Raw genomic sequence first — 24845 nt, forward strand, 5'->3', positions numbered from 1 at the left:
ATCTAGGCAATTGTTATTATTTATTCCATGAATAAATAGTTAGATTATTCTTATCACTATAAATTTTCACTAACACAGATAATCAAGAGCTTGGCAGTAGAAAGTATTAGAATAGTAAATTACATGTAAGATTAAAAAATTAGTTAGTATGACTGACATTATATACCTGTAGCAGATAATTAAGGTTCTAAGCCAATCGAAAACTAATGACAAGAGGTATTATGAAGATAAAATATCCTGTTGCTTCACTTGTCTGGTAAATACGATCTCTTCCCATGCATATTTGAGCATTAGGACCTGAAGATTTAGTGGACAATTGTAGTTTATTGATTAACTTAATCTCTTAGCACAACATATTCTGCTATCCAATCTTAGAGCAAATAAAACCACTTGACATTTATTCTGCTTTTTATAGTTTACAAAACACTTTCAAGTTAGCTCTCCTTCTGTTAGACCAACTAGGCTAGAAGGACATCGACCTGAACCTACCGGTAGTTATCAAACCATTCAGTCTGGGGGGATTGCCAGAGAATGAAAGGAACCCAGAAAAACACCGAGCTGAGAGGCAGAAAGAGAGAGAAACATTTCTAACGACATTGTGGGAGACCTAAATCCAACTTACTTGAAACACCCCTATACCCCTGCACCTTTCAGTTACAAGACTCAATAAATTCCCTTTTCTGTTTAAGTCCGTGTGAACCACGTTTCTATCACTTGCAGCTGAGAAAGGCCTGGGTAACATTAAGTCAGTCACATTGCTAACTGCACCAAGAATCACACTGTTAATTGCACTAGGAGTCACGGTGCTCAACTGCTCCTTACACGAGCCTTTGAGTGATGAAAAAAGCCTGTTTGTTTTGAACCCCCATACAATCACTTAACTACCTAGATGATCTCAGACAGGACATATAATGTGTCTGTGCCTCCAAATGAGCCCCAAATACAAGGATATAATTTAATTTATAAGGTTATTTTGAGAGCTAAATTAGAGATCTTTTCCCAAAGGAATTAGATAGAGTCTGGCGCCTAGAATCCAATAAATGGTAACATTACTCCTGCTCTCTCTCCTGACATGGTACTCAACAAGATAAGATATGTAAAGCATCTATTATAATTCCTGGTACAATGTAAGATACTCAATACATGTTAATTCTCTTTGCAATGAAAATGATTCAGGACTGGTAATCACATTCATCTTACATCACTATTTTTCACATTGTAGAAAAATAACTAAAAAGAAGAATATAGACCAACTCCAATGGCCTTTTTAACCCCCACATTTCCAAAAAGGTACAAAAACACTGTTAGAGGGAGGAAAATAAGAACATATAAATGGGTAGTTGGAAATATTAAATGAACCAGGCAATTTCCAGCATTTGAGCCATGTGAAGCCTCAACATAAATGTAGGGATTTCAAGTTCTCCAAAGGGGAAGATAATCACAAGCTACAGAAGTAATAGCAGAACCACTCAATACACAAAACAGAAGCCAAATGCTGGACTCACAGTATTTGGAACATATGGTAGGCCATAGAATTTCTCTTGTGTTTCCTTGAGAATGTCTGTGGTTGAATTCCTCAGGGGATGCTTCCCATGGTAGATTTGATCCAGAGTGGCATAAAAGACCTAGATAGATAAAAACATCTACTTAGTTTTGGTCGTCCATCCTCACATCAAGATGTGGTTGACCAAAGATGCTATAAGTGCACCAGAACAACAGTTACCAATCACAGTTGAAAACAGTCACAAAAATAAACTTACATGGTTTGAAATGTATTTCATACCACATTTAAGACCATGCTAAAGATTAAAAGGAATGCTCTCAACCTTTTCATAAATAAGAATATTAAAGAATTTTGAACCATACCCATAAGATACTCTTTATGTACAATGGCAGCAAATCAAATATGTGACACAAAACTGGAATTTTGCCAAAATATATGTAGACGGAAGGCCAGGCGCGGTGGCTCACGCCTGTAATCCCAGCACTTTGGGAGGCCGAGGCGGGAGGATCACGAGGTCAGGAGATCAAGACCATCCTGGCTAACATAGTGAAATCCCGTTTCTACTAAAAATACAAAAAAATTAGACAGGCGTGGTGGCAGGCACCTCTAGTCCCAGCTACTCGGGAGGCTGAGGCAGGAGAATGGCGTGAACCTGGGAGGCGGAGCTCGCAGTGAGCCGAGATTGCTCCACTGCACTCCAGCCTGGGAGAGACTCCGTCTCAAAAAAAAAAACCAAACAAAAAACAACAACAACAACAAAAAAATCTATATCTATCTATCTATCTATCTATCTATCTATCTATCTATCTATCTATCTGTAGGCAGAAATATACAAAACCAGTTACAACTTTAGACCCGCTGGATCTAACAAATGTTGTTTGGTTTCCTCCTGGAATCCTGATATATCTTAAATGAGAGAAATGAAACGGTCAGAATTCTAGTTTTGTGATAAAAGGTGAAAGAAAATTAAATAGGTGTGGTGGGGGTAGAGAAAGAAATAGCAATGCAGCATCTCGTGAGTATAGATGTATCGAAGAATTCTGATGCAGCTGTTGGAGAGGTTGGAACTAGACTCCCACACCTGGTGTCAGGAAGTACAAAGGAAGCAGCTGCTGTATAGGGAGGGCTCAACTAGATGACCAGGGGAAAAGGAGCACTCTCCTCTGAGTAGAGGATATAGGCCACTGAAACACAGTGGGAGAAGAAAGCATTAAAGAAAGTTTGGACATGAAATCTGCTGTTTACAAAGTACTGAAAACTAAATTTTGCAAAGAAATCTAAAATAAACATAAAGCATTTTTTCACTGCAACATCTGACTCAAATATTGTTTTTCAACACTGACTTGAACATTTGACTTCATGCAGGCAAGTAGAAAATGCTTTATTTTAAAGGACAAATTTTGACACGCAATTATGCTTCTGATATGTATCTTTGTGATTCAGAAATGGGATTTGTAGAGAATGTGCAGCTGTTGACTTGAAAGAAGTGAGGATTAGTTTGGTTAAAAGAGAAAATTTAAATGACCTCTGGCTTCTGGCTGCATCTAGATATAGAATTATGGTTCTAAATTATAAAGTTAAGTTTAAACCTTCCCTAGAAAAATACAGACATTTCCTAAATATAAATATTGCTTTCTTCTAACTGGTAATCTAAACATATAGCTAAATATAGCTCTTTCAATTCTACATTTTATAATGAGTAACGATGCATAAAGATAATCAGGGAGGCCAAAATTACTCAATGTCTTACCTATATTCTAACAGAGTAAATTATCAGGAACTGAAACTCTTACATTCTAACCTCAACTGAGGTGTTATTTTGCCCCAATGTATAAATAAATCAGAATTCAAGAGTTTCATTTCTTCAATTATGCCTTTTACAAAATGATATAAACATGGGGTAACTTTTTTGAATTATAAAAACAGAGCAAAATAAATTAAATATGAAAACAGAGCAAAATAAATTAAATGTGCATTCTTTTTATGCTTATTTGCTGATAAACTAAACAATTCCAAAGACATGAGCCTATCTGCCTACCCAGGGAGTCATGCATTCCTGGGGCCAAGAAACTTATTAAGTCACAGAAAAATGAAGAGCCTATTTTTAAAACAATAATTTTAAAAAATGTACAGTTTTAAAAACAGTGTTTTTTTTTTGTTTTTTTTTTGAGACAGAGTCTCGCCCTGTCGCCCAGGCTGGAGTGCAGTGGCGCGATCTCGGCTCACTGCAAGCTCCGCCTCCCGGGTTCACGCCATTCTCCTGCCTCAGCCTCCCGAGTAGCTGGGACTATAGGCGCCTGCCACCACGCCTGGCTAATTTTTTTGTATTTTTAGTAGAGTTGGGGTTTCACTGTGTTAGCCAGGATGGTCTCGATCTCCTGATCTCGTGATCCGCCCGCCTCGGCCTCCCAACGTGCTGGGATTATAAGTGTGAGCCACCGCATCTGGCCTTAAAAACACTGTTTATGTCCCCATAGAAAGTTGAAACAATTCACTTCCTTTCCACCCGTGTTCATCTCCACTGTCCAAGTGTAATATAAAAGCTGAACCCAGGCAGCTCCTCTACCAGGACTTTGCCTCTCTCTGTCTCTAGGGGGCTATTGTTTTTGGAGGGCGGAGGAGGGAAAGGTTGGTTTTCCATTTTAAAAGAAAATTATCAGAACACTTTTTCAAGAAGAAAGCCACAAAACAGACTTTTAAAAGCCAGGCCTTCTACTAAAGATATCAGCAAATCAAGACTTTTGCCAAGTAATGTTAATTTTTAAAAATAACTCAGAAATCCTTTAAAAATTATATTGATATGAATAGATACTGAGTAAGGTAAAGCAAATATAGATTCACGGTTTTGTCTATATAATAGATTTCCTTCACTGAAACATGTATTTCATGTTTGAAGGTACAGAAAAACAGAGCACATTTATTACCTTCTAGGGACTGAATTTTACAAAACTATAAAGCAATTAAATAGTGATTACTTTGTTAAACAGGTAACTGAATCATCATAAAGTGAATACTGCCTAAGATGAAAGATGGGTGTTTAAGGTGTTTACATAACTCTCAAGATCTGAAGAGGAGTGAGAATTCCATAACAATCTCAGTCATTACAAACATCTACGCATCTGATGTCATGCAGACCTGGCATCCAGATGGTTCATGAAAGTTTTCTGGTCTTCATCTCAAAACCTGGGAAGTTGGTTTTGAATATTATCTAAAACTAACAGCAATTACTATCTAAACTTCAAACCTAAAAACACAAAAATTTTAAAAAGATACAAAATGAATAAACATATGTATATATAAAATTAAGTTTGAGCCTTAATTTAGCTGGCAAAATGTGTGATTTAGAAGTTGTGTAAATTTTCTAAGCTTTCATTTTTTCCCAACTGAAAACGGGAAATAGTCTTTTTTTTTTTTTGAGACAGAGTCTCACTCTGTTGCCCAGGCTGGAGTCAGTGGCAAGATCTCGGCTCACTTCAACCTCCACCTCCCAGGTTCAAGCGATTCTCCTGCCTCAGCCTCCTGAGTAGCTGGGATTATAAGCATGCACCACCATGCCTGGCTAATTTTTGTATTTTTAGTAGAGATGGGGTTTCACCGTGTTGGTTAAGCTGGTCTCAAACTCCTGACCTCGTGATTCGCCCACCTCGGCCTCCCAAAGTGCTGGGATTACAGGTGTGAGCCACTGTGCCTGGCCAGGAAATAATTTTATTCAACGCCTACTTCATAAGGGCAGTGTGAGGACTAAATGAGTCAATTTTGGTCAAGTTCTTTGAACTCAGATGAAAGATGTTTTAGAAGCATAATTATTATAATAAATAGGTATCATTGGCAAGAATGTAAAGTTATATATTTATTTGGGATAATGACTCCGGAAAACTTCAGAACAAAGGTACATACATACCTGAAGTTGCATATCAGCTGCAGCACAAACCTTTTTAGATTCACAAAGACGAGACACCATATTTTTTGGCAGTGGCTTGATAAAACAAAAGAATATATATGTGAGTAAACTGCGTAATAAGTCACTGCACTATGTATAAGCCAGGAAATTTAAAAATAACATCAAATGTAACATGAGTAATAGAATTTCATTATAGTTTAAAAATAATAACTTTAAATATTTTAGTTGGCAAGACAACATGAATAAAGACATTCTGTTTAATTTCAAAAAGTGGTAATTGTCAAATAAGGGTTTGTACATGAAAATACAGGATTACGTGGAACTAAGACACTGGCGCCGATCTTTAAAAATCTATTTAAAACCTCAAAGGGAATACTTTTTCTGTTCCTTTGCTATTAGTGAGTGCCTGTTCAAATACTCTCTTGACTTTTAAGTGCATATAATCACTGACAATAGGACTAAAAGATGAAAATGTCAAGAAATAAATGGTAATTCACAGTGTCCGCCAGTGTTAAAGCTAAACTGACATCCTAACAAATAGTCATAATAATGTATTGCAGATTATTTTCTTTTCGAATCTGAAAGAACTGTAGAGCTTGGACACTTAGTTTAATGTCCCTATGTGATTTAAGGCTTTCTTTTTGAGATGAATTAGGCCTAACCCTATAACATACAGATCCTCTTAGAAATAAATTAATAATGTAGTTGAACAAGAACTTTCCTCAATCTTACTCTACTTTAAAATCATTAATACTGATGTTTATTAAAGAAAGATACCGATTTACAACCTAATTAAGCTAAAAGCCCCTCTAAAGAGAAACACATTATATAAAGACCAATGGCAAGTTACTCAGTGGTATGGTCGTATAAATTAACCACCTGTGAATGAGAACGTGGGCTGTCTGCTGGAAGCGGAAACTAGCCACTGCTTTGTAGGAGTCTACTCGGCAGACACTCAGGAAAGATTTGTGAAGGAATGAACTAATAGAAGAACTGCTAGGAAACGGCTTCTTAAGTGAAAGACATAGAATCTGCTGACTGCTCAGATGACAAACCTACAGCCTTTTCTCTTTCCATTTGGCAGCAAGAGAAGTAAACTAGGCAGAAAAGACAATATTTTTAAAGAGCTAAGACACAGATGGGAGAAAGCTACATAGTGTGAATTCTGGTACAGGTCACAGGCCTGGGGCTTTCTGACACCAGGGGCGCTCATCTTGTATGAAAGAAATACTTCCTCAAACAGGATTTTTAACAGTCAAGATTTATTTAAGTCATATCTGCCAACAGATTGTGTCAAAATGTTCACGTTTCTTTAAACCTTACTTTATATCATATTTTATATTGTTGACAGGATTCATGCTACATTTAAAAGATTTTTCATGCTTCACCAAGTTTTAATAATTTTTACAAAAAAAGTATATGTGGAAGAATGACACTGAAACCACCTTTGCAGAATTGTAAGTAATAAGAAGAGAAATCTAACATGACTGACTCCATCCTGCTTCTAACCTCTCAGGCTACATTGTCTTTAGCTTATTCTAGTGCAGAGGCCAAGATAACTATAAGAAAAATTTGGTTTATAGTTAAACTTTGAGGCTAGAAAACCTGACCTTCCTGCTTGTTTGGGGACTGAAGCCACATTCCTGAGGCTGGATTTGAATTATGGTAGGGGCCTGGACTTTGCTAAACAATAGATACACTTAAACAATCACCTGCCACTGCTAAGCTTGCTTTTCTATAAGTTGCTCACTACCAGAGTCACATAGCCAGAGGCTATAAGACTTGTAACTTCCCCAGCTACTCCTGTAAATAACATGATTATTGTGGAACCTAAAGAACTGGTCTTTGAGATATTTTTCAGATTTAGCATTTCAACAAACCAAGAGATGCTACCCGGTCCTGAGACCCACCTCCCAACCAGAAACAGACTCAGCTGTGCAGTTTAGACACTCCTGTGATTTCATCCACAGCTTATCAACTGTTTCAGTTCCCCAGGCCCCTGCCTGACAAAGTATCTTTAAAAACTCTAGCCTCCAAGTTCTCAGGGAGGTGGATTTGAGAAACGCCTTCTGTTTTCCACTTAGCTGGCCCTGCTATGATTAAACTGTTTGTTGCAACATTTGCTGTTCTCGGTGCATTAGCTTTTCTGGGCAGTGGGCAAGAAGAACCCATTGAGCTGTGACAATATTTTCTCATTTAACTAACACATATGAAGACCATGTAAGCAAGCACTGCATTAGGCACAAGGGGCACAAACAGTGGGCAACAGCAGGTGTCTGCCCCCAAAACTTCTCAGCTAGCATTCTCCACGTAAGCACCAATTCCACAGTTACTAACTGTAACGCGTGCAGGGAAGAAAAGGCCCGTAGGGGACGGTATGTGAGCTGTGACCCTGAAAGGCTTGATGGATGTAGGAGTGAGATTTGCCAAATGAATAGGTGTTAACTAGACAAGAGAAGGATGGATGGGAAGGGGAAAGAAGCATTTCAGGCAGAAGAAACAGCACATGCAAAGGGCAGGAAAGAACAGGGCTGTTGGCAGAAGGTGGAAGCCAGCAGAGGACAGGAAAGGAGGTCCCCATTGGAGAAGCCGGGAAGCTGAGCCACGCTGGGTCCCATCTCCACCCTGAGAAATAAAAAAAAAATTCTGAGCCCCTAACTGACTGAACAGACCCCCTGTTGGCCAAAGGGACCCCAGAGAAACTCTGGAAACTTGAGTTCCAGACCATGACGGGATGGGCAGTTGGTCGTGCCTCACTCTCCCCGTCCCTCGCTCACTGCCATTAGGCTTTCTTCCCTACCAGCAAACCAGACACTGCCTCTAAAAAAAGAAAATACGTATTTAGAAAAAAACAAAAAATGCTACCACTGGAGAAAACTGGGTGAAGGGGACATAGGACCTCTCTGCATTTTTGTTTTTGCAACTTTCTGTGAATTTATAACTATTTCAAAATAAAAAGTTAAGTACCCAATTATCTATTCAATGTCTACTATACATTGTAATACAAAAAACATTCACTTGTAAAGAAACACATAAGTAGAGAATAAGTACAATCCTAGTAGAATAGTGCAGAGGACAGAATCATTAACTCATCAAATCACAAATAAAAAATACACATATTGTGTGTGCTATACATAGAAAAGTAAATGTTCTTTTTAAAAAAACTAGTTTGATTGTTAGTCAACTGGAATTAATAAGTGTATTAATTGAAATGAAGTTATATGCTTATTCTCTTAGAAAATACTTGCTTTTTAAAACATAACAAATTTGAAAAAAAAACTTAAATACCATACAAACTGATTTTCTTTTAAAGTTGTATCTAAAGTTATTTTTTAAAAATAAACAACGTTTCAAAATTAAAACTGAAATTTAAAAATGTTTCCTGGTCAAGATTTTCTTCTGTAAATATTGCTTTGCCAATCGCGGCCATGATAACCAATATTGAACTACAGTGTTCCCTGGTATACATGGGGGAACTGGTTCCGGGACCTCCTAAGGATACCAAGATCTGTAGATGTGCAAGTCCCTGCTGTGAAATGATACGGTATTTGCATATAACCTATGCACATCCTCCTGTATATTTGAAATCACCTCGTGTGTAAATAGTTGTTATAGTGTATGTTTTAGAAAATAATGACAAGAAAAAAAGTCTGTACATGTTCAGTACCGACACAACCATCCATTTTTCTTCCCCAAATATATATACATATAAATACGTATTTATGTATATCTATAAAAAAATATAAAATATACCTATCTCTCTCATAAATAGGCTTTCACTGTATTGCCCAGGCTGGAGTGCAGTGGCACAATCATAATTCACTGCATCCTCGAACTCCTGGGCTCAAAGATCCTCCCACCTCAGCCAAGATCTTGAGGGGCTAAGACTACAGGCATGAGCCACCGTGTCCAGCCCCCAAATAATTTCAATCTGCTGTTGGTTGAATCCACAGATGCGGAACCCACAGATACAGAAGGTTGACTGTAATTCAATTTTGCTGTAATTCCAAAAGCAATTAAGTCTACAGAGCAGCACAGATGTTTAATATTATTGTCTCCTAAACACAAGACTCTCACATTTGCTACATTAAAGAAACAGAATTAACATATCTAAGATGATAGGTAATGAGCAACTATGTATAAATGAAAATGCATTTAAAACATCTAAGCCTTGAATAATATTATAATTATGTTCATTATATTGAATTTGAAAATTTACCAAAGTCTGAGGCATCATAAATAATTTTCACCGTATTATCAGCTGCACGTTTTACCAGATACTATTTCAATTTCCATAATTTCCAAGGCAGAAAATACTCCCTTTCACTGATCTGTAAATCTCCTATCTCACACTGACATATAATTTCTCAATTCTTCTGAGGATATGGACACTACCATAGTTATTAAAAACAAATTTTTTTTTTTGAGACGGAGTCTCGCTCTGTTGCCCAGGCTGGAGTGCAGTGGCACAATCTCGGCCCACTGCAAGCTCCGCCTCCCAGGTCCATGCCATTCTCCTGCCTCAGCCTCCCGAGTAGAGTAGCTGGGACTACAGGCGCCCGCCACCACGCCTGGCTAATTTTTTGTATTTTTAGTAGAGACGGGGTTTCACTGTATTAACCAGGATGGTCTCGATCTCCTGACCTTGTGATCCGCCTGCCTCAGCCTCCCAAAGTGCTGGGATTACAGGTGTGAGCCACCACGCCTGGTCCCATACTTATTAAAAATTAAAAAGAATCCTACCAGCATATTAAGAATGCTATAAATCAAGAACGTTTATATTAGCTAATTATGGTAAAGAACAACTGTGCAAGAAACATCAGGACTGGAGAGCTCTTTTGGGCCTTTCAGGCTGTTTCTAACATTCTAACTCCTGACCATCGAAATGGCTGCTTCACAATATCCAATTAATCAAGAAATACCATTCGTTCCATGAACTTAACCCATTACAGTAGAACTGAGAGCATGGCCTGCCTTAACACCAAAATCTGCCTGCATTTCAAATTCCTATGATTGCGCTTCACTGTAGCACAGTAAGGAGCATCAGATAAAACTGAGTTTGAATCCCAACTGTGCTACTTACCAGCTAAGTGGCATGGATGTTGGGCAACTTACTGAACTGTGAAGCCACATTTTCCTCATCTGCAAAATGTTAATATTATCTTTTCATAGGATGAGAATCAAGCAAGATAATGAGTTTTAAAATGTTAATACATCAGGTTTAACACAGATACTGAATAAATGGTAGCTGGTATTCTTTACTACTACTGCTGCACTATATAATACAATAATCACTGACTTTGACGAACTTTATTTACATTTTACTGTGTTATTTACATACTCTGCAAATGTGATCTGTTTCAGATCTATACATTCTTAGAAGACAGGAATTATAGCTAAACAATTTTCTCTCTGTAGCACCTAACAATCAAGTTCTAAATAAGGAATGTACTTCCATAGTTTCCTGATTTTTTGTTTTTTTTTGAGTCAGAGTCTCGCTGTGTAGCCCAGGCTGGAGTGCAGTGGTGCAATCTTGGCTCACTGCAACTTCTGCCTCCCAGGTTCAAGTGATACCTCCCACCTCAGCTTCCCAAGTAGCTGGGATTGCAAGCATGCACCACTGTGCCTAATTTTTGTATAGTAGAGATGGGGTTTTGCCATGTTGGCTGGGCTGGTCTCGAACTCCTGACCTCAGGAGATCCACCTGCCTGGGCTTCCCAAACTGCTGGGATTACAGGCGTGAGCCACTGTGCCAGGCCTATTTTTAATTTTTTTCATTTATAAAATAGCCGATTATCTTGAACCCAAAATGTACGCCTCCTCAAATTACCCGGCTTTAGAAGAGGATGCTTTCTCTAACCTGGTAATTAATTTAAGGTTTACAAAAAAACCCCACAATGAAATAAAGTAATGTGCTAGTAATCTATTAATATCTTCGATATTTCAATATCTGCCATAAAACTTGGTCATTAACTCACTTTTTGAAAATATTTTCTCCACCTTAAGTAGAACTGGTTATCAAACAATGAGTCAGTTTTTCATCTGCGGGTTCTAGCTCATATTTATAAAATACTGGCACTAATCAGAAAATCTCTCTCTTCTGACGATCAAATGTATCTCATGCTATAAGTCTAGATAGTTCAGAATTGCATAGTTTTGAACGAAAAGTCTACTGTAATTATTACTTCTGTTTGTAATGTGTCTTTTCTGCCCTGGTTGCCTTTAAGGTTTTCTCTTTATCTTTGGTTTCCAGCCGTTTGACAACAATGTATCCAGGTATATTCTTTCTGATTGTTTGTCCTGCTTGGGATTCTTGAAGCTTCTTGGATCTCTGGTGTGCTTTTCATTATTTTTGGCAAATTCTCAGTTATTATGCCATCAAATATTTCTCCGGCCTTGTTATTGCTCTCTTTTCCTTTCTGGAACTTGAATTGCATGTATGTTACACTGGCTGGTATTGTCCCAGAGTTCTTGGATGCTTGGTTTTGTTTTTGTTTCCCATCCCCTACTCCTTTCCCCACTCTGTATTTCAGTTTAAATAATTTCTACTGACCTAATCTATCTTTAAATTCACTGATTCCTTCCCTAGTTTCATCGAGTGTATGGATGAGCTTCTCAAAGGAATTCTTCATATGTGATATCGTGGCTTTATTACCTACATTTGCATTTGACTGTAGTTTTTTTTTGTAGTTTCCACTTCTCCTTATCTGTTCATACATGTTATCCATGTTTTCCGTCTTGTCCTTTAATGGTTGTTTAAGTCCCTGACAGACAGTGACTTTGAAGTTATTCTAGTTGTTAGTTATTTTCAAGTTCCTCAGTTTGCTTTTATTGATTAGCTTTATCTTGGAGCAGGGAGTCAGGGTTTTCTGCTATTTCTGCAGCAGCAGCCAATCACTTCCTACAACACGGAGGAAGCCTGTCTGCTTTCCCACCCTGCTCTCATGAGCACCCAGAGGAGGCCGACAGAAAATGGCCTACAAGTGAATGCAAACTCCTCCAGTATCAGGGCCCTCAGATATTCCAGATTGATATTCCAGTCCACACTGGGACTCTAACAATTCGCTAAAGTGTTACTGATCTCTTCTTACCCCTTTGTACGGCAGTCAACCTTTCCACCCATGATCTGCCACAGGTGAGCCATCTGTATCTCTCTGGATTCAGACACCTCGAGGGCCCTGAGACCTCAGCTTCCCTATGAGCTTGAGAAAAGTTAGCATTCTACCTGCCTTTTCCTGTAGGAAGGTTGGTTGCCAGCACTGCTCTTTCGAGCTTTCTGCATCCTAGGTGGATGGGCAAATCCCAAACAGTTCAGACTTTCATTAAGTAATATCATTTGGGCTTAGCCTCCAAAGGAGAAAAATCAAACCAAACCAAACCAAACACAAAGGCAGAAAAGCTTTACAAAGGGTGAACTATGCTTTTAAGTCAGGAATTACACACCATCAGAGACTATCATGAAGAAACTTGTAAAGCTTTGGCACGTATGACAGACAGCATAGCTGAGCACTGTCTCAAGCAGTTTGGTCAGTCGAGTGAGAATCCCCCTTTCCTCACCTTAGTAATTTTTTATCCTCCAACTCCCTCCACTCCCTCATTCCTTGGCTATAAATCTCCACTTTTCCTTGTTGAATATGGAGTTGAGCAGAATCTCTCCCCCACTACCAAACCTCACTGCAGTAGCCCCCCGATAAAGTCTGCCTTACTGTTCTTTAATAACTTTCATGAATAATTTTTCCTGTAACAAGAACAATAAAACATCATCCTTTGCCCTCAAAAGCATTAAAATTCCGATACCTGCATCACAAGAAGGTGGAGTCTGTGAGGCATGCTGCAGGTGTGTAACGTCGGGCTTGTTGATTCAATTTGTTTGTGTACCCCTCAAAATTCGATCCTGTGATTCAGGTATGCTGCCCCTTGATGGCAAAGGCACTTCCATCCAAAATTTGTTTTACTGATACTTCAACAAGTTCCCCCACAAAAGGATCAGTAAACATTCAGTGTTTACTGAATGAACACTTAATAACTCAATAAAACATTCAGTGAATATAATTTATATATTTAATACACAATTAGCATACAATTGATAGATGAGGAAGTTAGATAAGGAAAAATGAAAGCAGAAAAATAAAATGAGGTCAGAATTGAGGTTAGGCACATTAAAACATGTTTCCTGTAACTCCGTGTCATTGTCACAGTTGGGCCATACACTTAGTTCTGGGTTTTGCAGTGAGCTAAGCAGCGTTAAAAGAAAAACTTTGGACAAATTAAATTTAACAGAGTTTGGCTAGGCACGTTGGTTCACTCCTGTAATCCCAGCACTTTGGAAGGCTGAGGCAAGCTGATCACTTGAGGTCAAGGGTTCGAGGCCAGTCTGGCCAACATGGTGAAACCCTGTATCTACTTAAAAAAAAAAAAAAATTAGCTGGGCCTGGTGGCGGGTGCCTGTAATCCCAGCTACTCAGGAGGCTGAGGCATGAGAATCGCTGGAACGCGAATGCGGGAGGTAGAGGATGCAGTGTGACAAGATCGCACCACTGCACTCCAGCCTGGGTGACAGAGCGAGACTCTGTCTCAAAAATTAATAAAAATAAATAAATGAATAAATAAATAAATAAACTTAACAGAGTTAAACAGAGCAAAGGACACCTTAAAAATTGGGCAGTCCCTGGAACCAGAATAGGTTCAGAGAGACTCAGGAACTGCCATATAGTCTGATAATATTTATGGACAGAAAAAGGAAAATGACCTACAGAAAACAGATGTGAGGTACAGAAATAGCTGGGTTGGTTACAGTTCACATTTGCCTTATTTGAACAAGGTTTGAACAGCCTGTGATTGGCTGAAACTCTGTGATTGGTACAAGGGTAGGTTACAGGCTGTTTATACCTCTAGTAAGGTTAGAGTTCATTATGTATGGAGAAATCTTTAAGCCTAATTTAAAATATGTAAGGCAGCTTTAGGCTAAATGTAACAGCGGAGAGGGAAATTCAATGATGTGCCTCATTCTAATTTCTGTGAGTAGTGGTCTAGATCCCTTACCTGAAATTCCATAATCCGTTAAGGTCTGAAGACTGGAAAGTTTTCATAAATTTGACCAAAAAAAACATTAGATGGCAAGACCTGACCTGGACAAATGTGAAGTTTGTAAAGTATTTATCTTTTAAAAATATTTACCCTTACACTTCGTGAATATGCAGAAATATGAATGTGTTTCACTACTGGGTACTCTACCAGAACTAGCTAGGTTTATTCATTTCTTTTAATTCAACATCCACAGTATAAGGTTAAACAAAAATTATGGGAGGCCATTGTTTTATACTGAGCTCCTACACTGGGCCCCAGTAGACAAAACCAAACCAAATGGAGTCACTCATGCTAAATGCCACACAATCAAACCAAAGTTTTAGAGAAGCAGGTAGATCCCATACAGTCCGGTGTTTCCTGAAAATAGGAGATCGCAGTCTACCTGAGTCAGTGTCATATGGAAGCTCCCTTTGCTTTAACGCTTACAAAAGAGGAACCTGATGCTAATCAATCGGCTTTTTTTTCTGGTGTTCTGTTTCCTTGTTCCCACCTTATAAAGCCCACTCTTCTGCTATTGCCCAGGGGTAGCTTTCATTCTACTTTGTAGAATAGAGGCTGCCTAATTCATGAATCACATATAAAAGTCAAACGGATCTATAACCAAATTTGTTGCAATTTTTTCTTCTCATAAACCATATTAATTTTCTAAAAATCCAGAAAATTCTGAATTCCAAAACATCTAATCCCGAAGTTTTAGATAGAGAACTATAAATCTCTATGTGTTATATACATTTGGTCTGAAATACAGCGTAAATTCTCCACTTTTTATTAAAAAAAAAAATAGAAAAAAAGCCGGACACGGTGGCTCATGCCTGTGATCCCAGCACTTTGGGAGGCCAAGGCCAGTGGATCACCTGAAGTCAGGAGTTCAAGACCAGCCTGGCCAACATGGTGAAACCCCATCTCTACTAGAAATACAAAAATTAGCCAGGTGTGGTGGCATGTACCTGTAATCCCAGCTACTTGGGAGGCTGAGGGAGGAGAATTGCTTGAACCTAGGAGGCAGAGGTTGCAGTGAGCTGAGATTGCATCCTTGCACTCCAGCCTGGGTGACAAGAGGGAGACTCCATCTCAATAAAAAAAAAAAAGGAAAAAAACCTCTTTTCATTCCAAGTGTTCTACACACAGTATATTGTACATGTCTCCCCAATGAGGTTTACAGATGTGTCATTTAAAAAATGGGTTAAGTGTGAGAAACTCTTCGAGCACTCTTAATTTTGTATCTATAGAATCCAGTTGAGTGAAGTTACTTGGCCTTCCCTTGATGTTGTCCAACTCTCGTGCTTGTGTTGACTGAACAGAGGCCCTGCCTGTGGTAGAAGAGCCAACAATAAAAGCAGGTCAGATTGTCTAGGAAATTCACTCAAGTAAACACCTTTCTTGGGGATTCCAGTTATTAGCATATTAAATTATACGTAGTCCTACCTTTATAGAAACCCATTTAATGCTACACCCATTTTCCAAAATTATTTGAGCACAGAACACCTGCTCCCTCCACCCCATACATCTTTTATAATCAGGTGATTTAATATGTACAACACTAGTTGGAAAATGACTTGGTAAAGCAATTAAATGTAACTTTCACTAATAAAAGAAAGAATTCTTATAAATAAAACATCGTAAAGAAATAAAGGAATAAATACAGCTGTTATTCTGGCTATCTTACAGCTTCTTTCCAGTCTTATATTTACACCCACTTTATTAGAAAGCTTCTCTTCAGCTCTTCTCCATCGCACCTGGCTCTGCCTCTCCCAGGCCAGCACAGCCCCCAGACATTCTGGGAACTTGCCTGCAGGGTGTCCTGCCGCTCTGGTGCCTGAGCCAGTTCCAATGCCCCATCAGAGTGTGCATTTCTAAGGAATGAAAGTTGATGGAGCTCATGAAAGCACACTAATTTGCCTTTCCTTATGGCCAGGGAACAAATGGATAGAGCACAGAAGGTGCTGTATGTTCTGGTCTCCTCAATGCATTAGCAGATCCACAAAACTCATTCTGATTTCTCTGCTCCAAAACAGAAGAAAAATAGCCAGCATCCAACACTGCCTCCATACTGAAAAACGCCAAATAATACCAACTGCAAGCTCCACATTTCCCTCCTGCAACATTTTCTTTTTCCACAGTGAAGAGGGAGATTCCCACTCTGTTATTTTTTCAGATATCACCTATCAACTATTATTTTTATGGAGGCATTTTATTGAAATACAATAGTAAATCTAGTTATACCCTCAGTAAAGCTTTGCAATCTGCAACCTTTACAAACTATCTTACTATAGAGTTGTTCAGAAACAGTTTTCTATAAAATCTGTATCCCTTAACAAGGGCAGACTATTTTAAACATGGATTGAGAATTTATGTTAATGTGAATTTATTTCAAAGCAATTTTTACTGAGTGAACTTTATACTTCAGATAATTTATGCCCCTTCCTAGTTTCTTTCATAAAAATATCTGCAGATTTTTTTTTGTCACTATAGAATCCCACCAAGTCCAAATGAGCCCTGGTTTGAAGCTGGCTGCCTCCTGTGCTTACGAAATGGGCTGTAAGAGAAGACAGAGCAAGAAAAGCAGGTGAGACCTGTCACAAGACTCTCTGGGCTCATCTTCACCGAGCATCCCACCCTGTGCAAGGCATCCTACTAAGCAGCTGGGTAATACACAATGAATCTCACCTGATCCTGCTACCTGGAACCAGAAAAGGAATGTACAACCTGCAGTATCTGAGGGGGGTTGGTTCCAGGACCTTCCTCCAAGAACAAAATCCATACATGTTCAAGTCCCTGGTATAAAATAGTATAGTATTTGCAGATAACCTAGATGCATATCCTCTTATATACTTTAAATCATGTCTAGACTACTTGTAATACCTAATACAAAGTAGCTATGTAAATAGTTGTTACACTGTACTGCTTTTTTACTTGCATTTTAATAATTGTGTTGTTATTATTACTATTTTTTCCAAGTATTTTTGACCCATGGTTAGTTGACTGTGTGGACACAGAAGGGCCAAATGTATTTCAGGATTCATAAAGCATGGGAAAATGCACCAAGAGCCACAAAAGAGGTGCAGATAAAGCAATAAAGGAATTTAGAAGAGAGTAATCATTCACAGTGTTGGAAAAGCAATTACCCTAACAATAAATGGTGCCATTTGTACTACCGTAACAGTGGTATTTCAAAAGCAGAGATCAAACATCGTGGGTGGTTTTTTAAAATAGGAAAATGGTAGAAATGTTGTTTCTACTATTGGAATATAATATGCCAGTAATTAACTACAGTGACCTAATGTGCTTACTGTAATAATCCAACCTGAATTTTTCCACAATTACCACTGTATTTAAAACAGTAATTTCTGTGTTTATTTTTAAAAACTCAAGATTTGACTATATGACTATAACAAGACAATGCAGCCTGTCTAATATGCTAAAGTTGCCTATAAACTAAAAAGAACTGACTTAAAAGCCCTGGAGTGGTTGCCTCACATTGCCCCACCCCGCAAGGCTGTACTACGGTTGGGTAACCAAATGCTCCTATTTCAAGCATTTAGCTAATTGATTCATCCTATCCCGATGATGCATTCAATGACTTAAACTTAGATTTCTAGAGCCCCAACTAGACTGTGAGACACAATCAGCCATTGCTGTGTGAAAGGTCCCCTTAAAGGACACTAGGGAGTGGGGGCCCCACCCTCTTTGTGTACCCAAACACACAGCTGTGCAAGAGAGGACTCCCAGTGCTCATTTATTCTATTGTTTGTTAATGCCAGAACACATTTACAGCCAGAAAGGGAAAATGAAAGACTATAAAACTGACCTCCTTCTTATATTAAGAAGGTAAAAATCTGTGTCTTGCTCAGAATTGCAACTTTTTTTTTTTTTCCTAAATATGGATTGTAAGAACAGTAATTACCCAACTATGTGAAGTCCAAAGCAAGTAGAGACCAGCAGCATCTGGGCGCTTCTTTTTTTTTTTGAGACAGAGTCTTGCTCTGTTACCCAGGCTGGAGTGCAGTGGCATGATCTCGGCTCACTGCAACCTCCGCTGGGCGCTTCCTGGAAATACAGAATCCTGAACCCACTTCACATCCATTAAATCAGAATCTGCATTTTATCCAGATCCCCAGGTGATTGTGTGTTGAAGTTTTAGATACCTGACTTAGAAAAAGAAACAGTCATTACAATGACTTGAAAAACAAAGATGAGCAAACTTAAATTGTTCTAATTTTACAAGCAGAAAAATGGTCCGTAAGGAGGAGCACTGTGTGAAAGACGAAGGCTTGGGTGTGAGTTAGGCATCCTGCTGTTGCTACTCTTTTGCCTCTTAGCCTAACAAAATCTCAGAGTATCCTATTTTCTCATTTGTAAAATGAGGATAAAAATACCTCTGCCACAAAATTAGTATGAAGGTTCAATAAGGTGACAATTAGTTAATGAACTTCTAAAATGTATTAACTGAATAGAAGAAATTCAGGTCCCTGCATCTGAAACATCTGACTTTCTCAATGCTGTCACAGCTTGGGTGACCACACATGGAGGTGGGCATGACAGTCCTACGTTATGACTGCCATCTTGGTGTGATCAATAATAGCACTCCTTTCTTTCTTAACAGCATTTGGAGCTGGGCACGGTGGCTCACGCCTATAATCCCTGCATTTTGGAGGGCCAAAGCTGGAGGACTGCTTGAGGCTGAATGTTCGAGAACAGGCTGGGCAACAGAACGAGACACCATCTCTACAAAAAAATTTAAAATTAGCTGGGCATGATAACAGGCCCTGTAGTCCTAGCTACTTGGGAGGCTGGGGCAGGAGGACTGCTTCAGCCCAAGAATTTGAGGTTTCAGGGAGCTGTGATTGCACCACTGCACTCTAGCCTGGGTGACAGTGTGAGACCCTGTCCCTCTCTCACCAAAAAAGGGGTTTGGCTTGGACAATAGATCATATTGTCACCCTATTAATAACTAACTTACTGAGTGCTTCATATGAGCCAAACACTGCATCAGTTGTCCACAGCCTATGCTATACTGCCTTACCAAAGAGAGGAAGGTGTCAACTGTATCCTTGGGGTAAACAAAAGTGGCAATGTTTGTTGACCACGCATAGGAACAAAAACATTAAAACAAATAGCTTTCCCATTCTATGAAGCTAGCACAGCATTTTGGAATGATTCTAAAAATAACACCAAAAAATACAAATGTTTGGTAAACATAGTTATCACCTGAATTCTCTGAATATTTTGTCATGAGCTTAAGTTGTAAGCATGTAATCTCATAAACTTGCTAAGTATTCTCTAACATTTCACAATCTCACTAGTCTAATTTAAATAACATTACATTAAAAGTTTGGTATCAAATTATTACAGAGCTAAGTCACTGTGATAAAATACCTTTTTTACTTATGACCATTGAGAAAATGTACTGTGGTGAGAAGCTGCATATATATTAACAGGTAAGACAATCTCTGGTACAAGTCCTTGTTATGGTGGTAATTCAACTCATCCTGAAGCAGAGAACTCCTACTGCTGATGTCCCTGGGCACGTGATAGGTCTAATGACAGAAAACTTGTTGAAACATAGTCATCCAAAACAAGAAAATACTTCAGCGGCATAAAGCCAGGCACCAGGCTGCCAAGCAGCAGCTCTGATTTCCCAGCTGATCCCATCCCACCCCAAGCTGTGTGTCACAGCACTGCATTTCCTCACGTGTCTATAATGGAAAAACAACTGGATTGCATGTCTCAACTAGCTTGTTTTGATATAACCAGTAATCCAGATGGCACATAATCAATAAAATAAAAATGTTGGCTAGGCCCAAGGAGACAAAACCTCAAGCCTAAATCCACAGGAAATACTACTTTTCACTTACTTTTAAGTAGTGTTTTCTAACAAACTAAATAAGATGATCTAAGATTTAAAAACCCTTTAAAAATGCTTACACTTTATCACAGACCCACCGATGGTTTAAAGAAACATAGGTCAGATGGCTTTGAGTTTTGCAGGGTTCAACACTAAACATTTTAATGTGTGATAGGGATCCAACTTCCATTTTTTCTAAAAATATTCCAATAATACTGTGCTTTACAGTTTGCGTCCATTATTAAATTTGTCCAAAAATTTTGAGGCAGGTATGGAGGCTTGCTAAATTTTAATTTTGACATATTTATTCCATTTATTTTATATAAAGGAGCAGAAAAGTCTCAGACAAGTTCAATGACTGGTCTAAAGCCAGCTGTGTATGGTGGTGGGGCCGGGCTCAGATCCATCTCTACTTCCCTGTTCAATGCTTTTGTCTAGACATAATTGAGAAGCATTAACACTGAAAGTAAGAAAAGTTCCAAAACAACCTAAATCTGCCAAAGTTAATCTAATGCTAGTTGCACTGTCATGTTTACCTTCGATGCTTTTTCACATCTCTTGAAAGAGGATGACAGGAGAAGATTTATTACAAGTATGTATGTCTCCTTGAAGATAGAACTTAAGCAATTTTAGCCTTGGGCTGACTTTCACAAACTAAGGCGAGAAACTAAATCTTACAATGATGCAGGACAGAAAAATTCTACAATGAAAGCACTAGAATGTTACTGTTCTAAAAATAACACTTAAAGTAGATATGGGGCTTCCATTTTATGAGACACATTGTCAGAAGTTTAGGCGATACATATTGAGGAATTTTTAACGAGAAAATACCTGGAAAAAGAAAATACTCACAATGTTATAATACTGACTTGATCAACTCTAACTGAACTTTAAGGAAATTCTAAGGTGAAACTAATAGATCTATTGCCCCCCTCATTATTATTGTGTGATCTTTGGAAAATTACCTACCCTGGCTGAGTCTAAGGTAGCCAGGGTAAGGAATCACAGTAACTACAGTTAGTCCATACAGTGTGGACAACTAGGTACCAACCATCAACTTCACAGACTGCCAGAAAGGACTAAATAAGAAAAAATTATGAGAGTGAGTATTAACTTCTCTTAACATCGCTTTAAAAATATTCAGTGAGAAAGACAACTAGAGCAGTAAACATTTTAGTGTAGTGGCTAATAGACACAACTATACAAAAAATATCAGGTTCTCTCAAAAATCAATTGGCTATATTTGGTGATTAGTAATGTAGCTGGGGTTGCAAAATTACCAGGAAAAAAAAAAGATTTTAAAACAAGAAACATATAAAGATTAAGAGGATAACATATAAGGAAGAAAGGAATTGTTCATCGGGGAAACTATGCTTTTATGCATCTAATAAAATATTCTCAAAATATAGAGAGCAAAAATGGATAGAACTAAGGGGAAATTATATATCTATCATTCTCATGGTAGAAGACTTATACCTCTAAATTTTTGCTATATCAAAAAATTAGTTATATCAAAGATCTAAACAATACAATTAAAAGGTTGACTTACCAGACTAGTATGAAACCGCAGACCCAACAATTATAAATATACAATCTACTCAAGCACAGATGGAACATTTCTAAAAAACTGATGACACATGAAGCCATAAAATAAATATTAACAAACTGCAAAGAATCAATACCAGATAGACCAATTAATTAGATATCAGAAACAAAAAGATAAATAACTCCCCTGCAAAGGTTTAAAACTTTTAAACTATAGCTCTAAACAAGTCTTTGCTTAAGGAGGAAATTACAATGGAAATTACCAACTTTAAAAATATTTTGTATTAAAATCACAGAATTCAGCTAAAACATTTCATCACATCATTTAATATTTAAAGCATTAAAATTTAAATGCTTATGTTAAATAAAACAGAAACCGAATTAGATAAATGCCTATGAAATCAGAAGAAAAAAACAAGGATGGAGGAAGGAGAGAGTAATAATAAAAGTAGGAAGTAACAAACTGAAACAAACAAAATAGGATAAACAAAGTTTGCATTGGTTCTTTGAAAATACAGTCAGCCCTCCATATCTGAGGGTTGCACATTCATGGATTCAATCAACCATGAGTCAAAAATATTTGGAAAAAAACTGCATCTGTATCGAACATGTACAGACTTTTTTCTTGTCATTATTCCCTAAACAATACAGCATCTATATAGCGTTTACATTGTGTTAGGTATTATAAGTAATCTAGAGATGATTTAAAGTATACAGCAGGATGTACACAGGTTAAATGCAAATACTACACCCTTTCATAAAAGGGACTTGAGCATCCAAGGATTTTGGTAGCCACGTTGGCGGGGAGTAGTGGCCCAGGAACCAATCCTGCTTAGACACTGAGAGATTACAGTGATAAAGTGGACAAAATTCTGCCAAGATTAACAGAGAGAAAAAAATGAGAAAACAGAATTAGAAATTAAAAAGGATACAATTATAGCAGAATTTGAAGGATAAAAGAATGCTATAAGTAACTTTATGTGAATAAGCTGAAGAACTTGGCTCAAATTGATAAATGTCTAGAAAATTTCAAAGTAGCAAAGTTTATCTGAGAAGAAAAGAAAGCCCAAAGAGGCTTATGACTAGTAAGGATTCAGTCATTTAAAAAATCTTCCCACAGAGGAAACAACAGACCCTGAATGGTTTCATAGATGAATTCCGACAGTTTTAAAGAACAAATGATAACAATGTTATAAATAAATGCTTGTAAAGAAAAGAAAAAGAAACACTCACCAACTCATTTTATGAAATAGTATATATTTAAGTGAACACCAGCAAATAATGACAAAGAAAAATCATAAGCAATCCCTCTCTCATAAACATAAATGCAAAAATCAAGAATATAAAAATATTAGTAAACTAGCAAACTATGAGGTGGGTGGATCAACTGGGGTCAGGAGCTCAAGGCCAGCCTGGCCAACATGGTAAAACCCCACCTCTACTAAAATTACAAAAATTAGCCATGTGTGGTGGCACACGCTGTAATCCCAGCTACTCAGGAGGCTGAGGCGGGAGAATCACTTGAACCCAGGAGGTGGAAGTTGCAGTGAGCAGAGACTGCACCACTGCACTCCAGCCTGGGCGATGGAGGGAGACTCTGTCTCAAAAAAATAAATAAATAAAATAATTAGCAAACTAAAGCCAGCTCTGCATTAAAAAATAACTATTATTTAGGACCAAGGTGGCTTAATCCTGAAATGCAAAGGTGGCTAATGTTTAACATTAACATTCACTACATTAACAGATTAAAGGTGAAGAACAATCTGACAGCTCAAAAGATGCAGGAAAAAACTATGATAAAATGCAATACCCATTAATGATTTAAAAAAATAGTAGCAAACTGGAGATAGAAAGGAATTTCCTTTTCCTGATATCTCCAACAAACCTATAACAAACATCTTTCTTTACGGTGACGTATTAAAAACATTTCCTTTAAACACCAGGATCAAGGCAGGAATGCCCATACCACGGCTTTTACTCAACATTAAGGAGGCTCTCATAAGTGGAGTAGAACAAGGTAAACAGAAAAGATACGTGGTTGGAAAGGAAAAATAAAGCTGTCATTATTTTTAGCAGAAGTAATTATCTGGTTAAAAAAGCTTGTAAAAGTCTATAGACAAATTCTGTGAATTAATAAGAAAGTTTAGCAAAGCTGCTGTAAACAAGAGCACTATACAAAAATGGACAAACAGCATTTTTAAACACCAGTAACAAACAATCTGAATATATATACTGCTTATAGTATCAAAAAGGAAGGGCATCCAGGACGAAGCCCAACAAAAGCTGACCAAGGCCCTGGAAGAAAATTTTAAAACTGTATTCAAAGACTTTTGAAAAGACCCAAGAAATGGAGAGATATGCCATATTCATGGATTCAAAGATTCAATATTCAGAGATATCAGTTCTCTCCAAATTGGCCTAGAAATTTAATGTAATCCCAATCAAACTCTTACCAGAATTTTTCAAAAATTAGATAACCTGATTCTAAAATGTATATGAAAGAATACAAAGGTCCAAGAGTAGACAAGAAATTTTGAAGAACAAATCGAGGAAGGCCTATCCTTCCAGATATCAAGGCTTATTATTACTTATTAATAATAGTAAGCTTATTACTATAACTTATTCCAAAGCTCTAGTAATACAGACAGCATGGCTTTGATATTAGGACAGACAGCTTAAACAATGGAATGAAAGAGAATCCCACAAACTGACAATTGCATGTACATGAGTAATGGCACTGAAGAAAGGGTAAATTACTCACTAAATGGTGCTGGGACAGTTTGTTACTCACACGGAAGAAAGTAAAATGGATTCCCGCCTTATGCCAAACCCAGAAAGAATTTCCAACTTGATTAAAAATTGAAAGAGAAAAGAAAGCATTAAAATGTTTAGAAGAAAACTGAAGAGGCTGGGTATGGTGGCTCACGCCTGTAATCCCAAAACTTTGGGAGGCTGAGGTGGGA

At 37.8% G+C, this 24845-nt stretch overlaps 1 protein-coding gene across 4 annotated transcripts in view, besides 3 other annotated features; it reads right to left on the reverse strand.

Moving 5' to 3' along the window:
• MIPEP (mitochondrial intermediate peptidase) overlaps positions 1 to 24845 on the reverse strand; it is a 159212-nt gene that overhangs the window by 74256 nt on the left and 60111 nt on the right. For all 4 annotated transcript variants that reach the window (NM_005932.4, XM_011535097.3, XM_011535098.4 and 1 more), the window contains exons 15-16: positions 5406 to 5480; positions 1506 to 1625 (exon numbers count right to left, since the gene is read on the reverse strand). In NM_005932.4, the coding sequence (NP_005923.3) occupies positions 1506 to 1625; positions 5406 to 5480 (195 nt within the window). The remainder of the gene's footprint in view (positions 1 to 1505; positions 1626 to 5405; positions 5481 to 24845) is intronic.
• Positions 2478 to 2627: an enhancer, noted in NCBI's record as "active region_7466". NCBI's record gives its function as "activates an Ori minimal core promoter by ATAC-STARR-seq in GM12878 lymphoblastoid cells {active_cell/tissue: GM12878}" and the evidence as "EXISTENCE:reporter gene assay evidence [ECO:0000049][PMID:35858748]".
• Positions 3911 to 3960: an enhancer, noted in NCBI's record as "active region_7467". NCBI's record gives its function as "activates an Ori minimal core promoter by ATAC-STARR-seq in GM12878 lymphoblastoid cells {active_cell/tissue: GM12878}" and the evidence as "EXISTENCE:reporter gene assay evidence [ECO:0000049][PMID:35858748]".
• Positions 7624 to 8149: an enhancer, noted in NCBI's record as "NANOG-H3K27ac-H3K4me1 hESC enhancer chr13:24386207-24386732 (GRCh37/hg19 assembly coordinates)". NCBI's record gives its function as "activates a minimal SCP1, AML or CMV promoter by ChIP-STARR-seq in naive H9 embryonic stem cells {active_cell/tissue: H9 hESC(naive)}" and the evidence as "EXISTENCE:reporter gene assay evidence [ECO:0000049][PMID:30033119]".

Source organism: Homo sapiens, chromosome 13 (assembly GCF_000001405.40).
Source record: "Homo sapiens chromosome 13, GRCh38.p14 Primary Assembly".
In the NCBI taxonomy this organism is placed as follows: domain Eukaryota; kingdom Metazoa; phylum Chordata; class Mammalia; order Primates; family Hominidae; genus Homo; species Homo sapiens.